Source organism: Homo sapiens, chromosome 18 (assembly GCF_000001405.40).
Source record: "Homo sapiens chromosome 18, GRCh38.p14 Primary Assembly".
Classification (NCBI taxonomy): domain Eukaryota; kingdom Metazoa; phylum Chordata; class Mammalia; order Primates; family Hominidae; genus Homo; species Homo sapiens.
Genome location: NC_000018.10, coordinates 42,565,706 through 42,589,846, shown reverse-complemented (window position 1 = coordinate 42,589,846; position 24,141 = coordinate 42,565,706). Strand labels below are relative to the sequence as shown.

Here is a 24,141-nt window from a genome sequence, read left to right as displayed (position 1 = left end):
GCCTTGGGTTTGGTGATGAAGTTTAGGTATGATGGCGTTGACACACTTATAAAAGAAAAAATAATAAGCTAGAATTCATTAAAATAAAAAATTTCTGTTTTGTTAAATACACCATCAAGAGAATGAAAAAATGGGCCACAGATTGAGAGAGAAATATTTGCAAAAGACATATCTAATAAAGCACTTTTACCCAAAATAAAGAAAAAACACTGAAAACTCAATAGTAAGAAGACAAAAAAGACCAAAGAGCTTAACAAATATCTCACCATAAAAAACATACAGAAGGCAAATAAGTGAAAAGGTGAAATGAAAAGGTGCTTCATAGCTTGTCACCAGGGAAATACAAATTAAAACTCTGATAAGGCAGCACTGTACACCTATCAGAATGACCAAAATCCAGAACACTGACATGCTGGAAAGAATGTGATGCAACAGGATTCATTGTTGGTAGAAATAAAAAATGGTACACTTTGGTAGGCAGTTTGGCCGTTTCTTATAAAACTAAACATGGCCTTACTATACGATCCAGCAATCATGGTTTTGATATTCATCCAAAGGAGTTGAAAATATATACCCACACAAACAAACCTGTACCTAGATGATTATAGTAGCTTTATTCATAATATCCAGTGCTTGGATGCAACCAAGATGTCCTCCAGGAAGTGAATGGATATACAAACTGTGATAACATAATTCAGTGTTGAAAAGAGATGAGCTATCAAGCCATGAAAAGACATGGAGTAAACTTAAATGCATATTACTATGTAAAAGAAGCCAATCTAATAGGGATGCACACTGTATGATTCCAAATATATGACATTCTAAAAAAGTTAAAACTATGGAAACAGTAAAAATATCAGTGGTTGCCAGGAAAAATATCAGTGGTTGCCAGGATTGGAAGGGAAGGAGAGAGAGAGGGCCGAATTAGCAGAGCACAGAGGATTTTTAGGGCAGTGAAACACTCTGTATAATACTATAACAGTTAATACACGTCATTATACGTATGTCCAACCCCATAAAATGTACAATACCAAGAGTGAACTCTAATGTAAACTATGCTTTTTTGTTGCTAATGATATGCCATGTAGTTTCATCGGGAACAAATGTGTCACTCTGGTACAGGATACTGACAATGGGGAGGCTATGTATATATGGGGGCAGGGAGTATATGGGAAATCTCTACCTTTTTAAAAATTTTACTGTGAAACTGAAACTGCTCTAAAAATATTTCTATTTTTAAAATACAGAATAATTGTGCTTAATTGAGGTGGAGGAGGTGAAGATTTTACGTCAGAGTACAGAAATAAGTAAAAGCTCAGAGTGAGGGCAAAATAGATATATAGAAAGATAGATATAGATATAGATAGATAGATAGATGATAGATTTATAGATAGATTTATAGATAGATAGATAACAGATGACTAGACAGATATATGGGAAACTACAGTGAGTTCCATGTTCCTATAATAGTTTAGGACAAGAGTTAAGAGAAATAAGACTATATAGATGGGCTGGCAACAGACTGTGGAGATCATTACAAGCTGCATTAAGTAAGCTGTACTTTATTATGGAAGAGATCAAATGTTTGATTTTTCAGCAGAAGAAAATGGACCAATTTACGCTTTAGAAAAATTGCTTCAGTGAAAGAGGACATTGGATTTGAAGAACCAGTCCTATAGACATGTAGACAAATTGATAAGTGGCTGCAGCAGTCCAACTGAGAGATGGCAAGCTTGAATTATTACACAATTAGAGAAGACAAAGTGGACTAGAAAGATATTTGGGAGAAAAACTCTATATCAATTGTTGATTGATAAAAAGGCAAATTCATTAAGGTGAAAAATAGTGAGTACATTTGGACTTGTTGGATTTAGAATATTTGGTGAATGTACCTAATATGCAATCAAATATGTGAACCTAAAGCTTAAAGTAGAGCTCTCTAGTAGAGGTGGTAATTGAGATTCAGCATATTGCTATTAATTGATACAAAGAGACATGAAATAATCTATGAAGAGGACACACATAGAGAAGAGGAACGAGCTGAGGGCAGATCTGCGAGGGATGTGACACTGAGGAGAAAGGATCATCACAGAGAATGAAGCTTTCAGAAGTAGGCAACAGAGCTATGCAGGAGAATAGTAAAAAAAGGAATTTTTATGAAATTGAAAGTGATGAACAAGATGAAATATAGCAGAGGAGGTCCAGTAATATATGAACTAAAAATGCTTCCTGCATTTGGCACTTAGTATCTTTGATGAGAACCTCATAGAATGAGTCCAGAAGTGGGGTTAATAATAGATTCCAGTAATTGGTGAAGAGAATGAGAGACAGAAAATGAATGTAGTTGGAATAGAGTGAGAGATTAGAGAGTGTGTCTGGATTGAACGGGAAGTCAATATAGTTAGAGAAGTTGAAGACATGAGAGACTCAGTCATGAAACCAAATGCACAGGTGGAAAGGTTGCTGTTGAGCACCTCATTCTCTGATTTTAGAGAAGAGCTGTACTTCTGATCTTTGGATGCATATGAAAGTATGTCTGTAAGTATTGGGCAGGAAGACCACTCTTAGTAGCAACATTTCTGAAATAATTAAAGACAAGATTCTCACTGACAGGAACAGGGTAGAAGTTAAAGAAAGGGTTTCAGGAGATTGAGAACACTTTAAAAATCCTTGTTCCTTGTTAAAGAGAATGTTCAGAGAAAGAAAAAGCAAGGGTGAATGTTAGCAAGCATCCACCTATTTCTTTAAAATAATGAATGGTTCATTTATTTTTTTTAAAAAAAGTGTGTGTGTGTGAGAGAGAGAAAGAGAGAGAGAGAAGCTAAGTGCCCAAACAGTGGTAGGCATCATGAAAATAAAATAAAATAAAAACAAGAAAAACCCTCAAGTTGTTTACTATCTTACTATCATGTTAGAAAGGACATGCATGCAGCCATGAAATAGTAATTAACTCAAAAGAGAAACCAGTGAGTGGTTTTGACATTAACTGCAGAAGAACTTGGAATGTAATACAGGCTTTGTGGGGCAACGAAATCTGACTCCATGTGACTTCGGGCATTGCAATGCAAATAAAGTTCAGTAGACACCAAAGCAGGAGGAGGGTGTGGGGTAGAAGGCACATCATTAGCAAAGCTACAGAAATTGAAATGGTGTATGGCCAACACACAAAGTCATACTTAAAACCACTTGACCCCCAAATACAAGCTATAATAATTTGCAATTGACATTTTGGGTAGCATATAATATGTTAGCTTGTATTCTTAGTGAAACGGCACACTGTTCAATACTCTAATTATAAACGAGTGGTAAATCAGGCTCTGATATATGCAGTCAGAAGAGAAAATCAGTTCCAGGCTACCTCATGCCATCTCCCCACTTCACTGAGCCAATGCCTCACATCCAAACTGTAGTTTCAGGGACTGACTATTTGCAGACAACCAATCAGCTATTCCTGAGAAACAGTGTCTTTGGATCAGCCATCAGATGGAAATGAAGGAAATTTAGAGGATTACCCGAGATATGGGACTTTGAGTACATCAATAGGTTTGCATTTTTATCTCAGTTTTGCTATGCTTGTGGTATTAGAACTTTGGTTTGCTTTTGCTCCCTTTAAACATAAAAACTAAAATTTTCCCTGGTGTTTCAAGGTGAGTGTTTCTTCCAAATATGAGCTAGTTACCAAAGATTTTATTTGCCTTTCTCAACATCCCTGCGAATAAAACACTAATATGGTTTGGCTGTGTCCCCACTTAAATCTCATCTTGAACTGTAGTTCCCATAATCCCCATGTACCATGGGAGGAACCAGGTGGAGATAATTGAATTATGGGGCAGTTTCCCCCATCCTGTGGTTGTGATAGTGAGTTAGTTCTCACAAGATCTGATGGTATTACAAGGGGCTTTTCCCTATCTTCATTTTACACTTTTCCTTGCTGCTGCCATGTGAAGAAGGACATGTTTGTTTCCCCTTCCATCATGATAGTAAGTTTCCTGAAGCCTCTCCTGCCATGCTGAAATGTGAGTCAATTAAACCTCTTTCTTTTATAAATTACCCACTCTCAGGTATGTCTTCATTAGCAGCATGAGAACAGACTAATACAGACCTAAGTGTTTTAATGAGGATTTAGGTTAAGCTTGTTCAGCAGGCTCTCCTCAGGAGGGTGCTTATTCCTATTTCTCAAGTGAAATGTACATATTCATGCAATCCTAGGGCCCTCACATGAAGAATTCAGAGTCAGAGTGTCCAGAGTGGGTTTCCATTAAAAAAAAACAGTAAAGCATAAATAAATTCAAATAATTGAAATAAAAAATAAATTTCCATTGAAATAAGATATATATATCGGTGTCTTAGTTTGAGTTCCCCAGAAGTAGGCACAAATTCAAGAATTGAAGTGTGAGTATTGTATTTTGAGGGTGAAGGGAATGCTGGTATGGAGGTGGGGAATTGGGACAGGGAAGGGAAGCATAGCAAAGGAAAGGTAAACAATAAAAGGCAAATGAGAAAGCCAACTACCACTATAGAAGACTAGAGATTAAGCCAGCAGGGAAATTGTAGGAGTCAGGGTAGGGCACACGACTCAGAATCGTTTCACCCAACCAGTGCAGAACTGGAGATTTCTGTGACAAGAGAAAGTGTTAAAGTAAAAAGCACAGGTGCTAGCAGTTGGAAGTTGATTGGTGTGCATTGAAAAGTTAGGGCTAGAGAATCCTGGTGGGAAATTGATAGTGTCTTCCCTCCAAAGACTGAATGCTTTTGTGAGGTTCTACATGCCATAACAGAATTATCAGAATTGTTTTCCAAATCAAAATTTCTTAGAATCCAAACTTGTTTACCTTTTTCTGTAACAACCCTTTTCTTTTCAAAACCTGAGTATAAGTACTGTAGGAGCTAAACTGGTTTTACAACAGCACGAGGAATCACATCAAACAAATTGTATGTTATAGTTAGTAGTTAAAACTGTTTAGTTTTTCCAGAAAAAGGAATTTACTCAACAACTTATCATGGTGAAATTTTCTGTCTCTCTCTTTATAGTACATCATCATTTCTTAACTCCTACTATATGTAGAATAATCTGGTTGTCAGCATAGATACAAAAACCTGAAAACATAATTGCTGGCTGGGTAGTTTCTGCAAGAGAAGAAAATTCTTGACAGCATACAAAACACACAAAAAAGATAACATGTAAATAGAAGTAAATAAATCAATTAATTATAACACATATATTGAGTGTCCTTTCTCTGATAAATCTCACGTAAAATGCTATGCAACTAAGCCAAAGTCTTGCCCCTCCACCTTCAATTCACAATATACTTGGAAGAAATAATAATGATGAAACAGTAGAGAATTCTACGGGGGAGTACTTAAAACTTCATCCACCGGGTAGCCATAAACTGGTGATTTCAGAATAGATAGACATGGATGTTAGCTATGAAGAAAATGCTTTATGGAAGAAGAATGGAACGGACATTCCCAGTTAGTGTAATCAGAACAGAGAAACACAGTGTGAAGAATGAGTAATTACATGAATTTGTTCTTCTTTTCCTCAAATTGAGTATTTTTGTTTTTTTATACATTGAGCCAACACTTTTTTTGTAACAAAGATCAAAGACTTCATTTAGGCATTAGTTACAATTCCACATTATTATAGATAAACACAAAAAAGAGAGTTTGTTGAAAACACCAAAAATAAACATCTCATACCTAAACATGCTAATTTGAATGCATTTTGCAAACTTAGTGACACATTTGTCTCCAGAGAATCAACCTGAAGCTATCTTTCCATGGGATTCAAGGATTTTGTTTTGTTCTCATGGCAAAAGGGCCAGAGCTACAAAAAGAAACAAACAAAAAACACCCAAGAAAGTCTCCATTACACATCCGAATGTGTAGTGTGTACTAACTCATAATTGTTGAACACCTGCTATGATAGACCACTGTTTTAACCTCCTTCTTGTCCAGACATTAGTCTTAAAAAGTAAAATGTAGAGAAACAGGCAAGAATAAAATCGAGTCAGTGACCAAATTAAACCCCTCAGCCATGGGAAAGCTGCTGGAATTATTAATAAGGAGAAAAGCTTAGGAACATTTAGAAATGTATTATTTATTAAGGAACTGTCAGTGGGACTCATAAAAGGCAGGCTGTGAGTGAAAAATACGCTTGTTTGGGTTGAGTATATTACTGCAGACAGGCTGCAGATAAGCTGGAAACAAAGGGGAACATTAATCTGACTCTCAGGAAAGCATTTGTTATGGCAGCAACTATTGCAGTGGTTTTAAGCAAATGAATCACAATATGTGGTGAAAGTAAGTAGGAGTAATTAAAGAACAAGGGTTGTACATTGTCTCAACAATGGTGTTGAATTCAGTCATTTCAACTTGAAGCCAGCTAGAGGCAAAGCAGCAATCCCAGACCACCTGACTTGCCTCTTGGTAAACAAGAAAATGGATGGAACAACCAAATCCATGAGGATTGTGGGTGGGGGAAAGCCCTTGATTGAGCAATTGAATAGTGTAGCTTATTCATTAACAAGAAGTATGAGCAGTCTCAATGGGTAAGAGCCTCTCCCCATGCCCAAAAATGACTAGATTGTGAACCTGCTAGCCAGAATCCATCATAATAGGGGAGAATTGTGTATCTCGAGCCACAAAAAGAAGACTGTTAAGTATTTGCTTATTCCACACATAAGCCGAAGAAAGTTAAAGCCATAGGCAATAGTGCAATAAACTCAGACATTAGTACAAGATCTGACTCTGGGTTCTGCTACTTATTAGCTATATAACTTGGTCTTATGGGTTGTACTCTAAATTTTTATCTACTATCCTGTCTCTTCACTACCTCCCCTCTAACTCCCCTCTTTGATCATCAGCAGCTCTCATCTAGATTATTGTAGTAGTCTCCCAACCAGTCTATTCCTTCCTAACCTTTACCTTTTAGAGCCTATTTGTCCATACAGTAGCCAAAAAGAAACTGATCATACCTATCTTTCATGGTTTTCCATCTGCTCACTTTTCCTCATCTACATGCATGAGATAATGGCACCACTCTAGAAAGGGAGCCAAAGTCCTTGAGTCCCTGCTTGGAAGAGTGTCAGCAGGCAAATTCTTCTCCTTCTCTATAGCACACTGAGACATTAGGTAATGACAGTTTTTCACTGAGTTAAGTCATGAGATTTGGGGGTGGGGAGTGTTTTGATGCTGCAGAATAGTTTGAATTAATCCAAAAATTAGTATCAAAACTGAGGTACCAATGAAACAAAATTCTAAAGCATATGATATTGCTTAGAAGTTAGCATCAGTTGGTAGGAAAGAGATACAGCAGATTTTTCAGGGGAGATTCTGGTTAAATGCAAAATATTTGCTAAAGCAGGTCACGTGATTACTGAGTTTCAGAGATTGAAAAATATAATAGTAGCTAAATGTTCACCAATCTTATTTAACCTTATGAGTGCACAAGAACATTGCATTTCAAACTTCCCTTGCATCTAAGTAAGATTATATGACAGGACACTCAACAGTGGAATGAGGGAAGAAAGAGAATTTGCATATGGATTTTTCTGGTCTTTCTTCACCAACTATTTAGGTAATAGAGGAATCCACTTTCCAGAACCACATCTAGAGAACAGCTAGATTTGCAAAGCTTTCTCTATAAATCCCACTGCCAAGCACTCATTTATCTAGTTCAGCTTTGCTAGTCTGGGGTAATATTCTTTTCACTTCCCATTGCTTGCCTATCTCATTCTCTAAATGGTTAAAATATGTGAAAACTAGAATTCTAAGCATGGCTACTTATCTGGGAAAATCCCATATCTATCTGTTCATTTGTTGATTATTTATTTATTTGCTTAACAATATTTGATTGCTAATATATAAAAATCAAAATTTATCCTCAAAATTTACAGTCAAGTAGAGTTACAATCTAATATCAGTTAAGAAGAATATCCCTAGATTAAAATATCTACTACCTGCCTCAGTCTTCCAGCCCTATACCTTCTGTCCTAATATCTGCAGTGTCTGAATAGAAGAAAGTTAAAGGGAATATACAGAAATTACCCTGATGCTACAGAAAAGCAGAAAAGAGAACAAAATAGTCAAGTTATCTTAAATTTACAGCTTCAAATTTCTGTGCTATGGACAAAAAGTTGAGGAGGCAAAAGTGTCTTCACAAATTCTTTCAAGTGGGCAGGGGTATTTTGATTACTGAGTTAAACAACAAGCAAGAAGTCAGTTATAATTATCCACCGACCCCACCTATCCCCCAGGAAAACCTCTAATTGTTTTACAGTCAACAAATTTCAGACAATAGATTAACTCCTGGGCCTCAGTCGTTTATTGCTAGTAAATGTGTTCTTTATTTCTGTTCTTAGTGTAGATGTTATGAAGTTTCTGTTCCCATTTCTTTTCTTTGTACACTTTAAATTCTCATTCTGATCTATTTTATTGACTCCATTAGCTTCAACAGAGCTGCATGCAGAGACCTCACAGACATAGCTTTTTAGCTCACACAATTCTCCTTATCACGATTCCCACTTATGCAATTCCAAGTTAGCTATCCCAATCTTGACAGTCTGATAGAGACTCCATAGAACTCTGTGTACCAATAACAAAGCACATCTTTTTTTACTCCCAAATAGATCATTGCTTTTATTATTTCTGTCTTTGATACTGAGAATCTAATTCTCTCCATCAGCCAGGCTTGAAATCTTAGAAGCACATTGTAGTACTTTCTTTTCTTGAGTACATTCCCAATAAAGTGGCCTTTCTAAAACACCATATAACTTCCTCTTGAATTTTTCTGAATAGTTTGATCTACAGCAAGAATTATCTTATCTTTATCATTATCATATAACGTATATTTAATCACCTACATGCCAGAAATTGTACTAAGAACTTTATATTAAATCTTCAAGGCAATTCTAAGGGTTGGTTACTATTCTTATACCCATATTATAGATGAAAAAATTCTACAGCTAGGAGAATTAAACAAGTTTTTCAAGATAAGACACCTAGTAAAGTGTTAGGAAAATTTTATTCTTGTAAAGCAGGATATAAAAAGAAAACAGGCATTGAGATCAGATGTATTTATGCATACCTTGATTTTGCTCTATATTTCCTTAGTGTAGCTATTTAATATTTCTTAGCTTTGGTCACCTCATCTACCAAATGAAGATAACAATAGAATTGTAATGAGAATTAAGCACAGACAAAGCACCTGAAGCAATGAAAGCAGTTTTTACATGTAAATTCTCTTTTCTCTAGTAGAAAAAGTCAAATTGGCCAATTAAGCCTGTTTTGGTCAACTAATCTGAATATGAGAATTTCTGGGATCTCTAAACCTTATTTAAGAAGCCAGTATACATGAATGCAGCTTTTGGCCTCCTGTCTTAGTATTCAGATTTAAATCTTGGCATTTAAAAATGTTAAATTAATGACCGATCAATTCCAAATAAATTACCATCTTTAGAGGTGACGCTAATCAATGGAGGACATGGCATGGTTGGTTTGAGAAAGGCCTCATTTGACATTGAGGAAGATGGGATAATGATGGCTTAGTATTTGTGATTTCTACTCCAGGTCATTAAAACAGCAAACTTAATAGCTCTAATTAAGCCTTTTGATGCTATTACTACTACCAAGCTGATGATGGTAATCATGTTATTATGAATATTATATTAATAATAAAAGTGAGTCTTTTAGAAATAAAGTACTGATAACAATAACAACTTAATAGTATCTATATTCTTCAGGTATCATCAGAGAAGGTACAGTATCAAGCATGAACTATGTGAGGGGACAGAGTAGCACACTAGTCACAGAAGGAGAGGTAGGCTTTAAATGTAAGGTAACTGGCTGGGAACAGAAAACAAAAGAGCAGGGTGGGAGTTACCTAAGAATATCTAAAGATAGATGTTCCTCAGTGGTTAGAATTATGAAATGAGTCTGCATAGGAGACGCAACCCTATGGTACCTCAGGGATATGCAGGTAAATTTACCCATATCCAGGCAGAGTATCTGCACAATAATATCATGACACCAGAAAATGAAGCATAGAGTTGAGGATCTTATGCCATAAGATCCAGAAATAGGATTGAATACATAAGCAAAGATTCCAAGTAGCAAAGGACAAGTCTCTCAGCAGTCAATGGAATTCTCTCCTTGCCTTTCTCTTCATTATATAGTTCATTAAGGATTGACAGAAGACATTTTAGTATGACTTTAAGAACTGACCAAGCTAACACAACAGATGTCAGATTGTATATTCAAATGATATATATATAATGGCTGGAACCTAGGCAAAAATAAACCAGGATAAATGTAACATAGAAAGTGTAAATTTTATCATTTTAAAAAGAGTAGATATCAATACTACAGGAATTATTACATTATAAAAATAAGAATTAAATACACTTGTCAGGGATCAGAGTTTTCTAAAACTCGACCCATGCATGCATTAAAATAATCAGCCTAAAAGCTTGATTTGTATTTGATTAGAATTAAAAGACACTATATGTCACAATGGTATTTGATGACAACCCCTGAAATGAAAATATCTTGACTTAAATACTGTGCTGGCCATTAGTAGTCTCATCAACACACAGAATAGGAAGAGTAGATTTGCATTCTAGTGATCATGAGTCAAGTGAACATAGAACTTTTAAGAGACAAGTCAGGTTGAGAGAAATGCCATATATGAAACTTACTAAATTTAATTCTGAAAAAAAGTTCAAACTTTATAAAAGTGTACAGTTGGTAATGTCTGGCTCAACAGTCTTAAGAGAAAGATATGGGACTTTCTAATTGTGCAAGCTCACTATGAGTCAATGCTGAAGGTGGTGCATTCCATGAAGTTCTGCAATTGCCAGATAATATCTAAGTAAACATGGTTCTTTCTGGCTAACACATTTAAAATGTAAAATTCTAAAATGAGCTCATGCATAAAAAGACCAACTGTATTAATGAGGCAGTCCAGAAAGCTGAACAACAAATACTTGAAGAACATGAAGATGAATAGATAGCTCTCAGAAGACCCAATATATTCAAATAAGTTTACATGTTTACTTCTTTATTTGTCTATTTTTTTCTCTAAGAACAGAAATAGAATGCAAGAGAGAAAATTATGAGGCAGTTCATTTTGGTTTCAAAATGTAAAGGGACTACTTATCATTTAGAATTGTACAAAAATAGTATAGGTTTTTTCATAAGCTATCAGTTGACAGCACTGAAAATATTCAAGGCCATCTGTAATTGGTCCTAAAGGAAAGAAGTTGAGCTCTAAGTTAACTAGTCTTTGGAAATTTGTGATTCTGTTCATGGCATGTAGAACTTAGAGACTGGTGATATTTTTGTGTGGTCTCTAAACTGTTGCCCATTAGCCAGTTCATCCTCACCTGTCCTCTAAGCTAATCACAAATTTGCATCCAGATTATATAAATGTCAAGGTCACAGAAAAATATGAACGCAGCCAAAATTAGCTATGCTTTCTAAAATGTTTGTTCCACCCATAAAAGCTTTGCTTAATTATACAAATAAAGACTTTTGTTTGTTCATCATAAAAAAAAATCTATTCAATACTCTTTTTCTTTTTCTTGCTATTATTTATCCTCACTCCCAGATCGACTTTGCCTAAATTAACTGGCCACTGCAAATCAAGATAAGAAAAGCAAGATTACTTTCAGTACAAAATTGTATAGACAGACACTGAATTCAGTCTGCTTCTTGGGTCCTTTCTCTGGCTCAAAGTTAAGATGCTCTTGTAATGTTCCATTTAGGAGCTTAATGTTTTTCCGATAAAGTGATTATAAAGTTTATATGTTTAATTAATTTGCAGCTAAATAATTGTAGGCCCTGCTCTTCTCAGTGAAGGAGGAAAACTAACAACAATAGAGGGAAGTTTTTCTTTTCAAACATGAGACAAGAAAGAGACCAAAAAGTTTATTGATTCTAATTTCATCATGTTATAGCTAAGGAAACTCAGCCCAAATGAGTTACATATCTTGGCTCAAGTGCTAACATTAGCCAATGAAAGTGCCAGGACTAAAACTCCTAATTCCTAATCCATTGTTCTTTGTACACAGTGTAATTTGCAAAACACCTTTATTTGTTACTTCATTTGACTCTCAAAAATGTCTTTGGAAGTTACCTAGTAAGAAAACTGAAACTTAAACTCACAGATTTAAAATATAGTTCAAGTTATATTTAAAATATAAGTTTAAATCAGCTGGCTCCTCAATTTTATCTTTAGCCCTTACCTGTCCCTGGATACCAAACTCATATATCCACCTGCCCTCCTGACATATCTAATTAAATATCTACTTTGTATCTCAAACTTAACATGCCAAAATAAAATCTCGATCTCCTTATCCATCCTCTGTTCTTACCCAGCGGAACCATGGGCTTTCAAATCTTATTAGATGGTACCAGTGTTTAGACCAAAAATCTAAGCATTATCCTTGAGTCTTCTTTTTTTATTATCCCCAATATCTCAATCCTTAAGCACATCTGTTGACTACCAGTAATACATATCTCAAACCTATTCAATCCTTTCAGCTCCATGACTACTAGTCCAAGCCACCTTGATTTCTTGCCCAGGTTATCACTGTATTTTTCTGCCTGGTCACTCTGCTTTCACTATTGCCCATCTGCAATTTATTCTTCACAAAGCAGTCATGAAAGTATTTGTGAAATGCTAATCATATTTTGATAGACCTCTGCTGTAAATTGTTTGTGGATTTGTACCTGTACAAAACAAAACATAAACTTATATAGTGTGACATGATCCCGTTCTTGTTTTCCAAATTGATTATATACTTCCCTCTAGCCACTGGCTTTGTTTTGTTTTATTTTGTTTTGTTTTTTGACAAGTTCAACTTGAGCCCTTAGGTCCTTTACATTAGCTCTTTCCCCATCTAGAATGCTCTTTTCCTATTTTTCAACTATCCAACCTAAAGTAACCACCTAGCGATCCTCTAGCACAAAGACCATTCACAGTAACCAGGTACGGGAATACCAAAAGGAAAATTTAAGTAGTTAATACTTAAAAATTCAGCCAATAATAAAATCCATTGAATAGCTACTCCTATAAAGATGATATGCTAGATCCTGAAGGTCCCAATCTGATATAATAGGCATGAGGAAATCCTGATCAAGTGATACAAAGAAACCGTATATAAAGAATATTTTAAAAGCTGTGACTGCTAAATCTCAATTAAGATGTACCTACATGTGTAAAGTAAGATCTCAGAAAAAAAAATAACACCGCTAATTTCACGCCAAGCTCCAAGCAAAGCATTTTATATGTATAACTCATTGAATCATTACACTAGACTTGTGAGTTAGGTAAAATGTACAAATGAAGACACTGAGATACAGGAGAGGTTAGAAAACTGTCCTTTCAAATTTAGAGTTTGGATATCTTCAAGCTTACCAAGTAGTGACTAATTACTTCATAGAGAGATTATACAAACATACACTTCTATCCCAAGGGCAGTCTATAACATTCCCCTCTGTCTCACATCCTTGCCAACCCTTGACATTGTCATAAATTTTAACTTTTGCCAAAATGCTGAATGTGAAATGAAAGCTTTTATGGCTTAGTTTGAATTTGCCTGATTAATAATGAGCTTGAGAATTACTTCATGTTTTTTGGCCATTAATGTTTCCTTTTCTGTGAAATATATGTTTGCTTTAGTTTTAAGTTGTGTATGTAGTTACTTATTTGACTCATAGGAGTTCTTTATATACTCTAGATTCAAATTTTTTGTTGATTTTATATGTGGCAAATATTTACTTTAATTGTATAGCTTGTATTTTCACTTTAAAATATGTATCTTGTTGAATTAAAAATTTAAATTATAACAACTGAATTCATTTTAAAATTCCTACGTAGTTTATACTTTAAAAAAATTATTCTGTTCTCAAATGCAATAAATGCATTTTTCTGATAGTTTTCAAGTTTTGCATTTCACATGTAACTCTTCAATCTTAGGTTTAATTATTGCACATGGCATGAGGTAAGCACCTAAATTTGTATTTTCCCTAATGAAAAACCAATTGCCTCATCACTTTTTATTAAAGAGCCCGTTCTTTTCCCTGATTGATCTGTATTCCACCTCTGTCATATAGCAAGAGTGTGTATGTGCAAGAGCCTGTTTCTGAATTCAATTTTATGTTTCATTGGGTTACTTGTCCATCCAGGTGAATTTCATCCTCTCTTAAATTATGACAGAATATAGAGGCAGTACAACATCATGCTTAAAAGAGTGGTCTCTGGGACCACATTACTTTTGTTTGATTTCTAGTTCCATCATTGCTAGCTGTGTGACCCAGAGCAAGTTGCGTAAGTTGCCTAACCTCTGTTGTCTCCCTTTTTCTTCCTTGTAAAATGGTGATAATAACTATACCCATTCCAAAGGCTATTTATGTGTATTAAGTCAATACACATTTAAAACAAACAAACATAACAGTGTCAGGGGTGCAATAATGTTTAGTATAACTTAATATTGCCTTATTTTTTAAAACTAAATCCATTTCTTTCAGACTCAAGATAGCTGGGCAAAAGAAGTAAAATCTGTTATTACATAGGCAAATAAAAACCACTTTCATTTTGTCCTATTTCCATTTTCAAAATGTAATTAATATCATTATCTTGTTAGGTCATACCTGCTGTCCTCAAACCTGCTGTCATTTCTCCATGAAGAATTGTCTTTGAGGAGCGATTTGGCCCCTGGCCCTGGCCTGCTGCCAGCCTTCTGCTTATTTCCTTGGACCCGCTGTGTGATGTATTGTTTCCAGATTCAGTATTGTTTAATGTTCATACCCCAAACGCTAATTGAGGTTTCCAGGAGCTTATTCCTCCAAGTCAACCCTGTGCCAGTGCTGGGTCCAATCTGTCCAAGGCCCCATGGGAAACCATCCATCCAAATCCAGGGATGCATGAGCTTGGCTGTCTGGATGGGAAACTAGATCTCCCGTATGGTCCACTTGGCCTTTAAATCTTTGGCCTTGAAAAGTCCAAGACTTAGGAGACTTAGAAGATAAGACTTTTAGGAGAAGGTCCATCTGTGAATGAAAGCAAAAACAAAAACAAAAACACTCCAAATGGTTGTTTTGTCCCAGTTAACAATAGGGGCAGAGATGTTAAAAGAAATAGTAAGCAACCATTTCCTTCAGGTTGCAATATGTTCCATGTGCTGCACCTGAGGCATAATAAACAATAAATATGTATTGAGTGAATGAATGATAATAATAATGATAGTATTACATTTTACCTCCACGAGTTTCCTTTTCCAAAAGGTTTTCTCACACATCTCATTTTAAATTTATAAACATGGAAAATAATGCTCATTATACACTCTCCATATTAACTTCATTTTTGCCTTTTGAAAAGTGAAGAAAGAAAAAATATATAGATTTTAGCAAAGTTACACAACTACGTGTCTCCTGCCTTGATTATTCATTTAGTGATTATTCAATGTCTGTCTTCCAGGAACAGTAAGCTACTAGAAATGCAAAGATATTTAAAATAAGGTTCTTGATCCCTTTCTTCCTTGCCCATTCACCTCGTTTCACATCGTAGCTGTGAAATAGGTATGTAAATATATAAGTATAAAACAAACTTGTAAATGCTATTACAGAAATATGTACAATGCACTGAGAAGACCAATATGATAAAGGGACAAATTCTATTTAGAAGGGCTAAGAAAAGTCTTAAAAAAATCAATAGAACTTCCAAGATAAATAAATGAAGTACATTAAAGATAGAGAAAAGCATACAGGAGCAAGGTGGTTTTGTCTTCAGGAACGGAATATGGGCTTCTATTGGGTTTTTTTTTTAATGAGGATAAATGCAGGGTGGGCTTAAAGGAGTTGAAAAATTTAAAAGAAATAAGTAACTGTTCCAAATAACATCAATAATGGTCATGAACAATAAATAAGAAGTGAAAATATAGAGTAAATTTTATAATACAGATATTAGGTACTATATTTCTCATTTTATGACATATAGTGGACCATTGGTTTCCCTCCAGCATCTATTCTCTCTTCCTCTATCCTTGTAGATCCATGATTTTATTCAAGTATCAATCCTATCCATACACCTCAGGGTGAACCCATCCACAAATCTGGGGTTGAGTCTGATTGGTCTAGAGATAATTCCTCTCCCTTCACAGTAATTGATTCAAATTTTTATAGGTAATCCAACTGAGATCAATAATAAAAGATCAATATTTGTTGAAAAATAATCATCCTGATTAATAAATCTAACATTGTTTTCCTTGGATGCCATCTTATTCTGGGAATTAATCTCTCCTCTAAAGCCTGAGGATGGTGCCAACACTGTGTAGAGGAGAGAATTAGAAAATTTAGGTAAAGAGATTCACAGATGAATTAAGTCAATTCTTGAAGTCTGACTTTTTGCTGTACTTTCTCTTATGTAAGCCAAAAACGTTTTTTATGGCTTTAGCTAGTTTGAGTTTAGTCTCCATTACTTGCAACATAAAGCATCCTGAAAATGTCTTTTTTATATTTTTTTAAATTATACTTTAAATTCTGGGATACATGTGCAGAACGTGCAGGTTTGTTACATAGGTATACACATGCCATGGTGGTTCCCTGTACCCATCAACCCATCATCTGCATTAGGTATTTCTCCTAATGCTATCCCTCCCCCAGCCCCTCACACCCCAACATGCCCTGATATGCGATGTTCCCCTCCCTGTGTCCATGTGTTCTCATTGTTCAACTCCCACTTATGAGTGAGAACATGCAGTGTTTGGTTTTCTGTCCTTGTGTTAGTTTGCTGAGAATGATGGTTTCCAGCTTCATCCATGTCTCTGCAAAGGACATGAACTGATCCTTTTTTATGGCTGCATAGTATTCCATGGTATATATGTGCAGCATTTTCTTTATCCAGTCTACCATGGATGGACATTTGGGTTGGTTCCAAGTCTTTGCTATTGTGAACAGTGCCACAATAAACATACGTGTGCATGTGTCTTTATAGGAGAATGATTTCTAATTCTTGGGGTATATACCCAGTAATGGGATTGCTGGGTCAAATAGTATTTCTAGTTCTAGATCCTTGAGGAATCGCCACACTGTCTTCCACAATGGTTGAACTAATTTACATTCCCACCAACAGTGTAAAAGCATTCCTATTTCTGCACATCCTCTCCAGCATCTGTTGTTTCCTGACTTTTTAATGATTGCCATTTTAACTGGTGTGAGATGGTATTTCATTGTGGTTTTGATTTGCATTTCTCTAGTGACCAGTGATGATCAGCATTTTTTCATAAGTTTGATACTCTCTACATTATTGAAGATAATTATGCTAAAGGGAAAAAACATTTTCTGCTTCTAGGAAAAAAAATCTGATAATTATGTAGCCATATCGTTATTTATCAATGTGGACAACTCAATATATTTCTGCAAGCCAACCAATCAGTGACAGCACTTTTCTTCCAAAAGTTAGGCAATCAGAAGTAGGTTAACACTTATGAACATGCTTCTGAATGTTAACTAATGAAGTCTCACTTGATCAGGCATACATCTGTAGTTAAAAACAACTCACTCTCACCTCTGAAAGTCTGGCAGACTCTGAATTCCTCCCTTCCTAAAAATCTTACACATAAAATTTATGTTTAAGATCAAAGTCCTGCTCTGCTCTAAAAGCATATGTTTGACCAGCATAGGCTTTTTCACTTAAATAAGCAATATATTATTTTTCTTCTTTGTGTTTTGTGTTTGGGGTATTGATTGGTGGTCTCATCCTTTGTTAGTTACCTGGAGATTAGAACATACTGAGAGTATATCATTTTTGGACATATTACTAATGTTTTATATGCCGTGTAAGAATGTCTGGTCAATGTTTGGACATTGTCTTCTGACAACTCCTTCTTCATAAAAAGGGCTCTGACAATCAAACATTTACTTTGTCCAAAGATGCAATGTGAACAAAGTGATACTTGCAGATATTGCTCACTCAGTTCTCAGAATATTTATTGGGTTAAACAAATGATCTTGTAACATAAGATTAAGTCTTTTCATTTAAAAATGAGACTATAATTTACTAATGCTTGAGTGTGTTTTGAAATGCTTTCACTGATATTTAAGCAGATTTACTACTGCGGACATACTCTCTATTGAAAAAAATTATCTGAGGTATACATTAGTAAAAAAATATGTTATATAAAGAATCACCTTCTATCTCATTTGATTCATAGGCTGGATTGTTTTGTTTTTAATTCTTTAATATCTGGTTAACTTATAAAGATACTCTATTTCTGCTGTTGTATCTTTAAAATGCAAGAATTTTATGTCTTCCATATAACCAAGATATTACTACAATCAGTATAAATCTGTATATTGATGAGTAGCCCTCAGTTGCCTATACAAACAATTGATCTTTATGTATATCAGTCAATAAATCTCTTGTTCATGTAGCAAAGCAGGCAGAGATAATACTGCAATCTACAAAATGTGATTTAGGAGTTGTCCTGACCAAAAACATCTTCCTCAACCACACCTGAATAATGCTGGATAGAGTTTAAAATACATTATGCCAGCTGGTCACAGTGGCTCATGGCTGTAATCCCAGCACTTTGGGAGGCCGAGGCGGGTGGATGGTTTGAGCCCGGGAGCATCCTGGACAACATTGCAAAACCCTGCCTCTACAAAAAGTACAAAAATCAGCCAGGTGTGGTGGCGCATGCCTGTAGTCTCATCTACTCAGGAGGCTGAAGTGGGAGGATCAACTAAGACCGGGAAGTTGAGGCTGCAGTGAGCTGTGATCATGACATTGCACTCCAGCCTAGACAAAACAGTGAGACCCTCTCTTAAAATAAATAAAAATAAATAAATAAACACAAAGACAACACATCAAGCTACAAGAATTTACAATTAAATTAGTGAATAAGATTAATTTCACCTGTTTTAGGAAGACCAATGGGCTTCACTAAAACAAGAGTTATCTAATGGGAGAGGAGGGGGGTCTTCTTATATTGCTGTAAGAGGAGAATAATAATAAAGTGTCTTAAAGTCAATTCTACATAGCAGGTAATCCTCAAAGCAAGTCAGCATAGCAAATATGCAGTCAGCCCTTGTCCATCATTAGTTACCTGTGAGAGTCAGGCAAATGGAAAATTGACTTGCCTGAGGTTAGTGGCAGCTCACCTGCCCAGTGTGAAAATTAGTATGTTAGAATTCCAATAAAATAAAGATTCTCCAGCTTTCTCTCACTTTAAAATATACTTCAGTAAGGATTATTGGCAAATAAAGCACTTTATTATCTATGGAGAAAGACAGGCCATTTGATTGAAGTTCACTTTCACCAAGAAGCTTTAGTACTCAGCTCTGCATGACCAACTTCAAATAGGGAAAATGATGTAAAAATTATTTGGATTATTCAAGTAAATGTTGACATAAGACATAATAGACAGGGTTAAGAGACACAGGGATATAACAAAAAAATACATCTGTAGTTTATGTGATGGTGTTTAAAGAGATAGATATGTTAGTTTTCAGAAATTTACACTGTCTCAGTTTGAACTACAAAATTGTACCAGATCCTATTCATTTGCACACTAATAAAAATGACCATTTTTCAATAAGGTTAAGGTATATAAGTGGAATTCAAAATAATTTTAGGTACTTTTTTCATGTAATTATTGACAGTCATGCAACCCATCATCTAAGTGAATTTCTTTACAAAGTAGCTATTTGAATTGGCTCTTGAAACTCAAATTTGAACTTCCTTTTAGTTGAAAATTTAGAAAACGCAAAAAAAAAAAAAAAAAATTCCCTACATTTCCTTGCTTTACTTTCAACTAGGATTTGGATGTGATTCAGGTTCCCCTAATTTGATACACTTGGATATCAGCTGAAAAGGCAGATGTGTGGAGGAGGCTAATTCCTCTGCTGTAGCATTTGGTGAGGGGCATCTTTGCAACAGCCAGTCTCTGTGTCCCAGTGCCTCACCAACAACTTGGTGATTAAGAGGGCCAGCTGTGGTGGTAGAAATAGTGTCAGTGGTTGCAGCAGTATCTCATTGACTTCTGGAATCCTTGCTGAGGTAATGAGGCCTGGAAATCAACTATCCAAAGACAGTAATAATTTTCGGAGCGCTCAACTACATCTAGTAAACCTCTTTCTGTTTGAAATGCCTAAAGTGGTGTCTTATTTCCTAACTGAAGCTGGATTGAGACACCTTAGCTCACAAGTTACTTCTGCTTTTTCAATTATTTGTGGTTTTAAAGATAAAACAAATTTAAAAACCTAACAAAAGCTAGATTATACCTCTACTAAAAAAATGTTTAAAATCAGAGCTTCCTCCTATCCTAGACTCCTATCATACTATCTTTCATATTGCATTAGAAATATCCATGGACATATTTATCATATCACTGTATTGTGACTCCTGAAGGAGAACAATTTTCAAATTTGTTTTTAACTTTCTAAAACTTTCTTCACATGAAATTGCTAATTCTTTTTCTACTTTCCCTCTGGGTGTATACAATTGTAGAGGTTTCATAGACACTCCTTGCATGCTCTACGAGCTGATGCAAACAAGGCAAAGAACATCTTAATTCAGAGCAGAATTCCCAACCAGAGGCACATTTGCCTCTCAGGGCATATTTGACAATACCTGGAAACATTTTTGATCGCTACAATTGGGGTTGAGGATACTCCTGGCAACTAGAAGGCGAGGGTTGGAAATCCCGCTAAATATTCTACATTGCACAGAACAATCACCCATAGCAATGAACTATCTGGCCCAAAATATAAATAGTGCCAAGGTCTGGGGAACCCTGAATGAAAGTAGTATACATAAATAATTTGCATTAAGTAAATAAGGGCACATTGGTAAAATACAGAAAAGAAAAAAGCTGACTGGGCAAATCTATCTAAGCCTTATGTTGAAAAGAACTAGAAAATACTTCATAAATAAATATGAATACATTTTCTTATTTATTGAGATTAAAATAAATTTAACCATTCTGAAGCATTTTGAAGCATTTAACCATTTTGAACCATTTTGAAGCATTTAACAATTTAGTAGGACATTCACAATGTTATATAGCCATGACCTGTATTTTAATTTCCAAACATTTTCATTATCCCAAAAGAAAAAAAAAAAACTGTACCCATTAAACAGTAACTCTCCATTTCCCTCTGCCTCCAGCCTTGGCAAACACCACTCTAATTCCTGTATCTATGAATTTGCCTTCTCTGTTTTCTATAATGGAATCACACAATATGTGACCCTTTGTATCTTTCACTTAGCAAAATATTTTGGAGATTTATTCATGTAATAGTACATATGAGTATTAACTCTTTTTTATAACTGAATAATATGCTATTTTATATGTATACAAAACTTTGTTTATTCATTCACTTATTTATGAATATTTCAGTTGTTTTCATGTTTTGGCTATTGTGAACAATGATACTCCAAATGTGAGTGTACAAGGCTTTGTTCAAGCATCAGCTTTAATTATTTGGGGTTTATATCTGGAAGTGAAACTACTAGATCATATGATAATTCTATGTTTAACTCTTTGAGGACCTGCCAAACTGTTTTCTACATTGGCTAAAACATTTTATATTTCTACCAGCAACATGTGAGTGTTCTAATTTCTCTACCTTGCCAACAATTGTTATTTCCCATTTTTTTTAGTGCCATCCTATTGGGTGTGAAATTGTATCTCATTGTAGTTTGTTTTGCATTTTACTAATGACTACTGTTGTTAAGCATTTTTTAATGGGTTTGTTGGCCATTTGTATATGTTCTTCACAGAATGCCTATTCAAATTCTTTGCCCATTTTTGAATTGGGTTATTTGTCTTTTTCTTGTTAGTTGTAACAGTTCTGTAATTTTCTACATGTTAGACCCTATGTCATTTGTTGGTATTTTCTCCCATCCTGTAGATTATATTTTCACTTTCTTGTTAATCTTTTTTAATACACAGAAGTTTTTAATTCTGATATGTCCAATTTTCCCGTTTCTGTTGTCATTGTTGCTCATGGTAACAATGATACTTTGGGTGTTATATTTAAGAATCCAATGCCAAATCTAAGGTCATAAAAGTTGACTTCTATGTTTTCTTTTAGTAGCTTTATAGCTTTAGCTTCTATATTTGGGTTGTTAATCCATTTTTCAGTTAATTTTGTGTACTGTGTGAGATATGCGTTCAATTTTATTCTTTTATGTGTGGATACCAGTTGTCCCAGCATTATTTGTTAAAGAAATGTTCTTTGTGCAATGAATGGTCTTAAAACACTTGCCAAAAGTCAACTGACCATAGACGTATGGATTTCTGAACATTCCATTTTATTCTACTGATAGATATTTCTATTTTTATGCCAGTACCACATTGTTTTTATTACTATAGTAGTAAATTGTGAAATTTGGAAGACTGAGTGATCGAACTTTGTTTTTTTTTTTTTCCTTTTCAATATTGTGTTGGCTCATTGTGGTCTTTTGCAGTTCCACATAAATTTGAGGATCAGCTTTTGAATTTCTAAGAAAAAATGCTGTTGACATTAAATAAATCTGTAAATTGTTTTGGTTAATAGTGTCCTAACAATATTATATCTTAATATCAAATCTTCCAATTAACGAGTACTGCATGTATTTTCATTTATTTAGTCCTTTTTTAAAACATTTTGACATAAAAATCTTTCTTTAAAACATTTCTTGACACATTTCTTTCAGCAATGTTTTATAATGTTCATTGTATAAGCCTTTTCTCTCCTTGCTCAAATTTATTTCTAGCTATTATATTATTTCTGGTGATACTGTAAATGGCATTGTCTGAAACAAACAATGAACAAAAATCAAGTTAGATTTTTGTTAGAACACAAGACCACATCTATGAGACCCAATAAAAACAACATAAATTAGAATTAGACCTACAAGACTCTAGTTAATTGGAATTTTTAAGTACAGATTTTAGAATAATATTTATTCTATGCTTAAGGAGATAAAAGACAAGATTACTAATTTCAGCTCATGAATAAAAATATTTTTAAAGGTTAAAACATATTTGAAAGAAACAAGAAATAGGTCGCTATTAGAACAAAACCTTTGTTCATGTGTTTGGCTTACTCTCCATTATTATAAGAATAGATAATATTTTGGGGCACTTATTGTTAGATACTATTATAAATGAGTTACATGTTACAACACATTTAATATTTCTAGAAACCTGATGAAATTAGTATTTTTTAGATGAGAAAACAGAGGCAAAAATTACAAAGAACTTGACTATTTTCACAAAGCTGATAGGTGTTAAAGTCAGTGCTTAAACCCCAGCATCAGAATTCTGGGGTTCTAGAAGTAAAAGTATTCTTTTAACATTAACACACCAGTTCCTTACAGAATACGTATGTTCCTTTGTCAAATTTGGAGTCTGAGAATTATTTTTTTTTTCTAAGAAAGCAATTTCACTTAACAAAAATGCCCTACACTAACTTTATATCAGATTCCTGTAAGTAAGTTTCATTCCACACCCACAAAAAGAAAAACAAAATATGCAGTGCAAACTCATGCAGGACAAATAATTTAAGCAGAAGGGATTCAAAGTAATAGAAAAGTTACATATAACCTTGGCGATCATGGATGGAAATGATTTAGACATTCAGAGAAAGAGAAGAAGGGTCTCACAGACGGAAGGAATAGCTCTTGATATATTCAAGGATGATGCCTAGTTTCTTGTGCCTGGAGCATAGAATGCATGAAATATTGGGAGAGAAGTTTGGAAAGGAATGGAGGGTAAAGAGTCACAGAAAAAAAAAAGAAAATAAAAAAGATTCTGTGACAGCAAACTGAAATTGTGAGCAGTTTGGACTAATCTTAATAGTTCTTTTATACGAATATTTCAGTAAAATAAAATTATCAAGGGCTTTGAACAGGGCAAGATCATGATCAGGCAATGATTTAGAAGATGGCAACAATCTACAGCACAGATTGAGCAAGCAGACCAGTCTGGAAGCAATTTCTATGGTTGGGAAAAAAAGAAAATTAGAGACTCTTCTAAGGCAATGGCTAAGAAAATAGAACAGATTTTAAATATGGTGTAGATATAGCTCAAGCAAAACAAATTGGAAACAATCTATTAAATCAGGATTTTAAAATGCAAAAGAATGAGG

The 24,141-nt window shown here is 34.6% G+C and overlaps 1 long non-coding RNA gene across 1 annotated transcript in view; it reads right to left on the bottom strand.

Annotated features, from left to right (window-relative positions):
• The window catches only part of LINC00907 (long intergenic non-protein coding RNA 907), a 504,759-nt gene that overhangs the window by 101,580 nt on the left and 379,038 nt on the right, over positions 1-24,141 (bottom strand). Inside the window, exon 7 of the long non-coding RNA NR_046174.2 lies at positions 14,656-15,054. This is a non-coding gene — a long non-coding RNA (long intergenic non-protein coding RNA 907). The remainder of the gene's footprint in view (positions 1-14,655; positions 15,055-24,141) is intronic.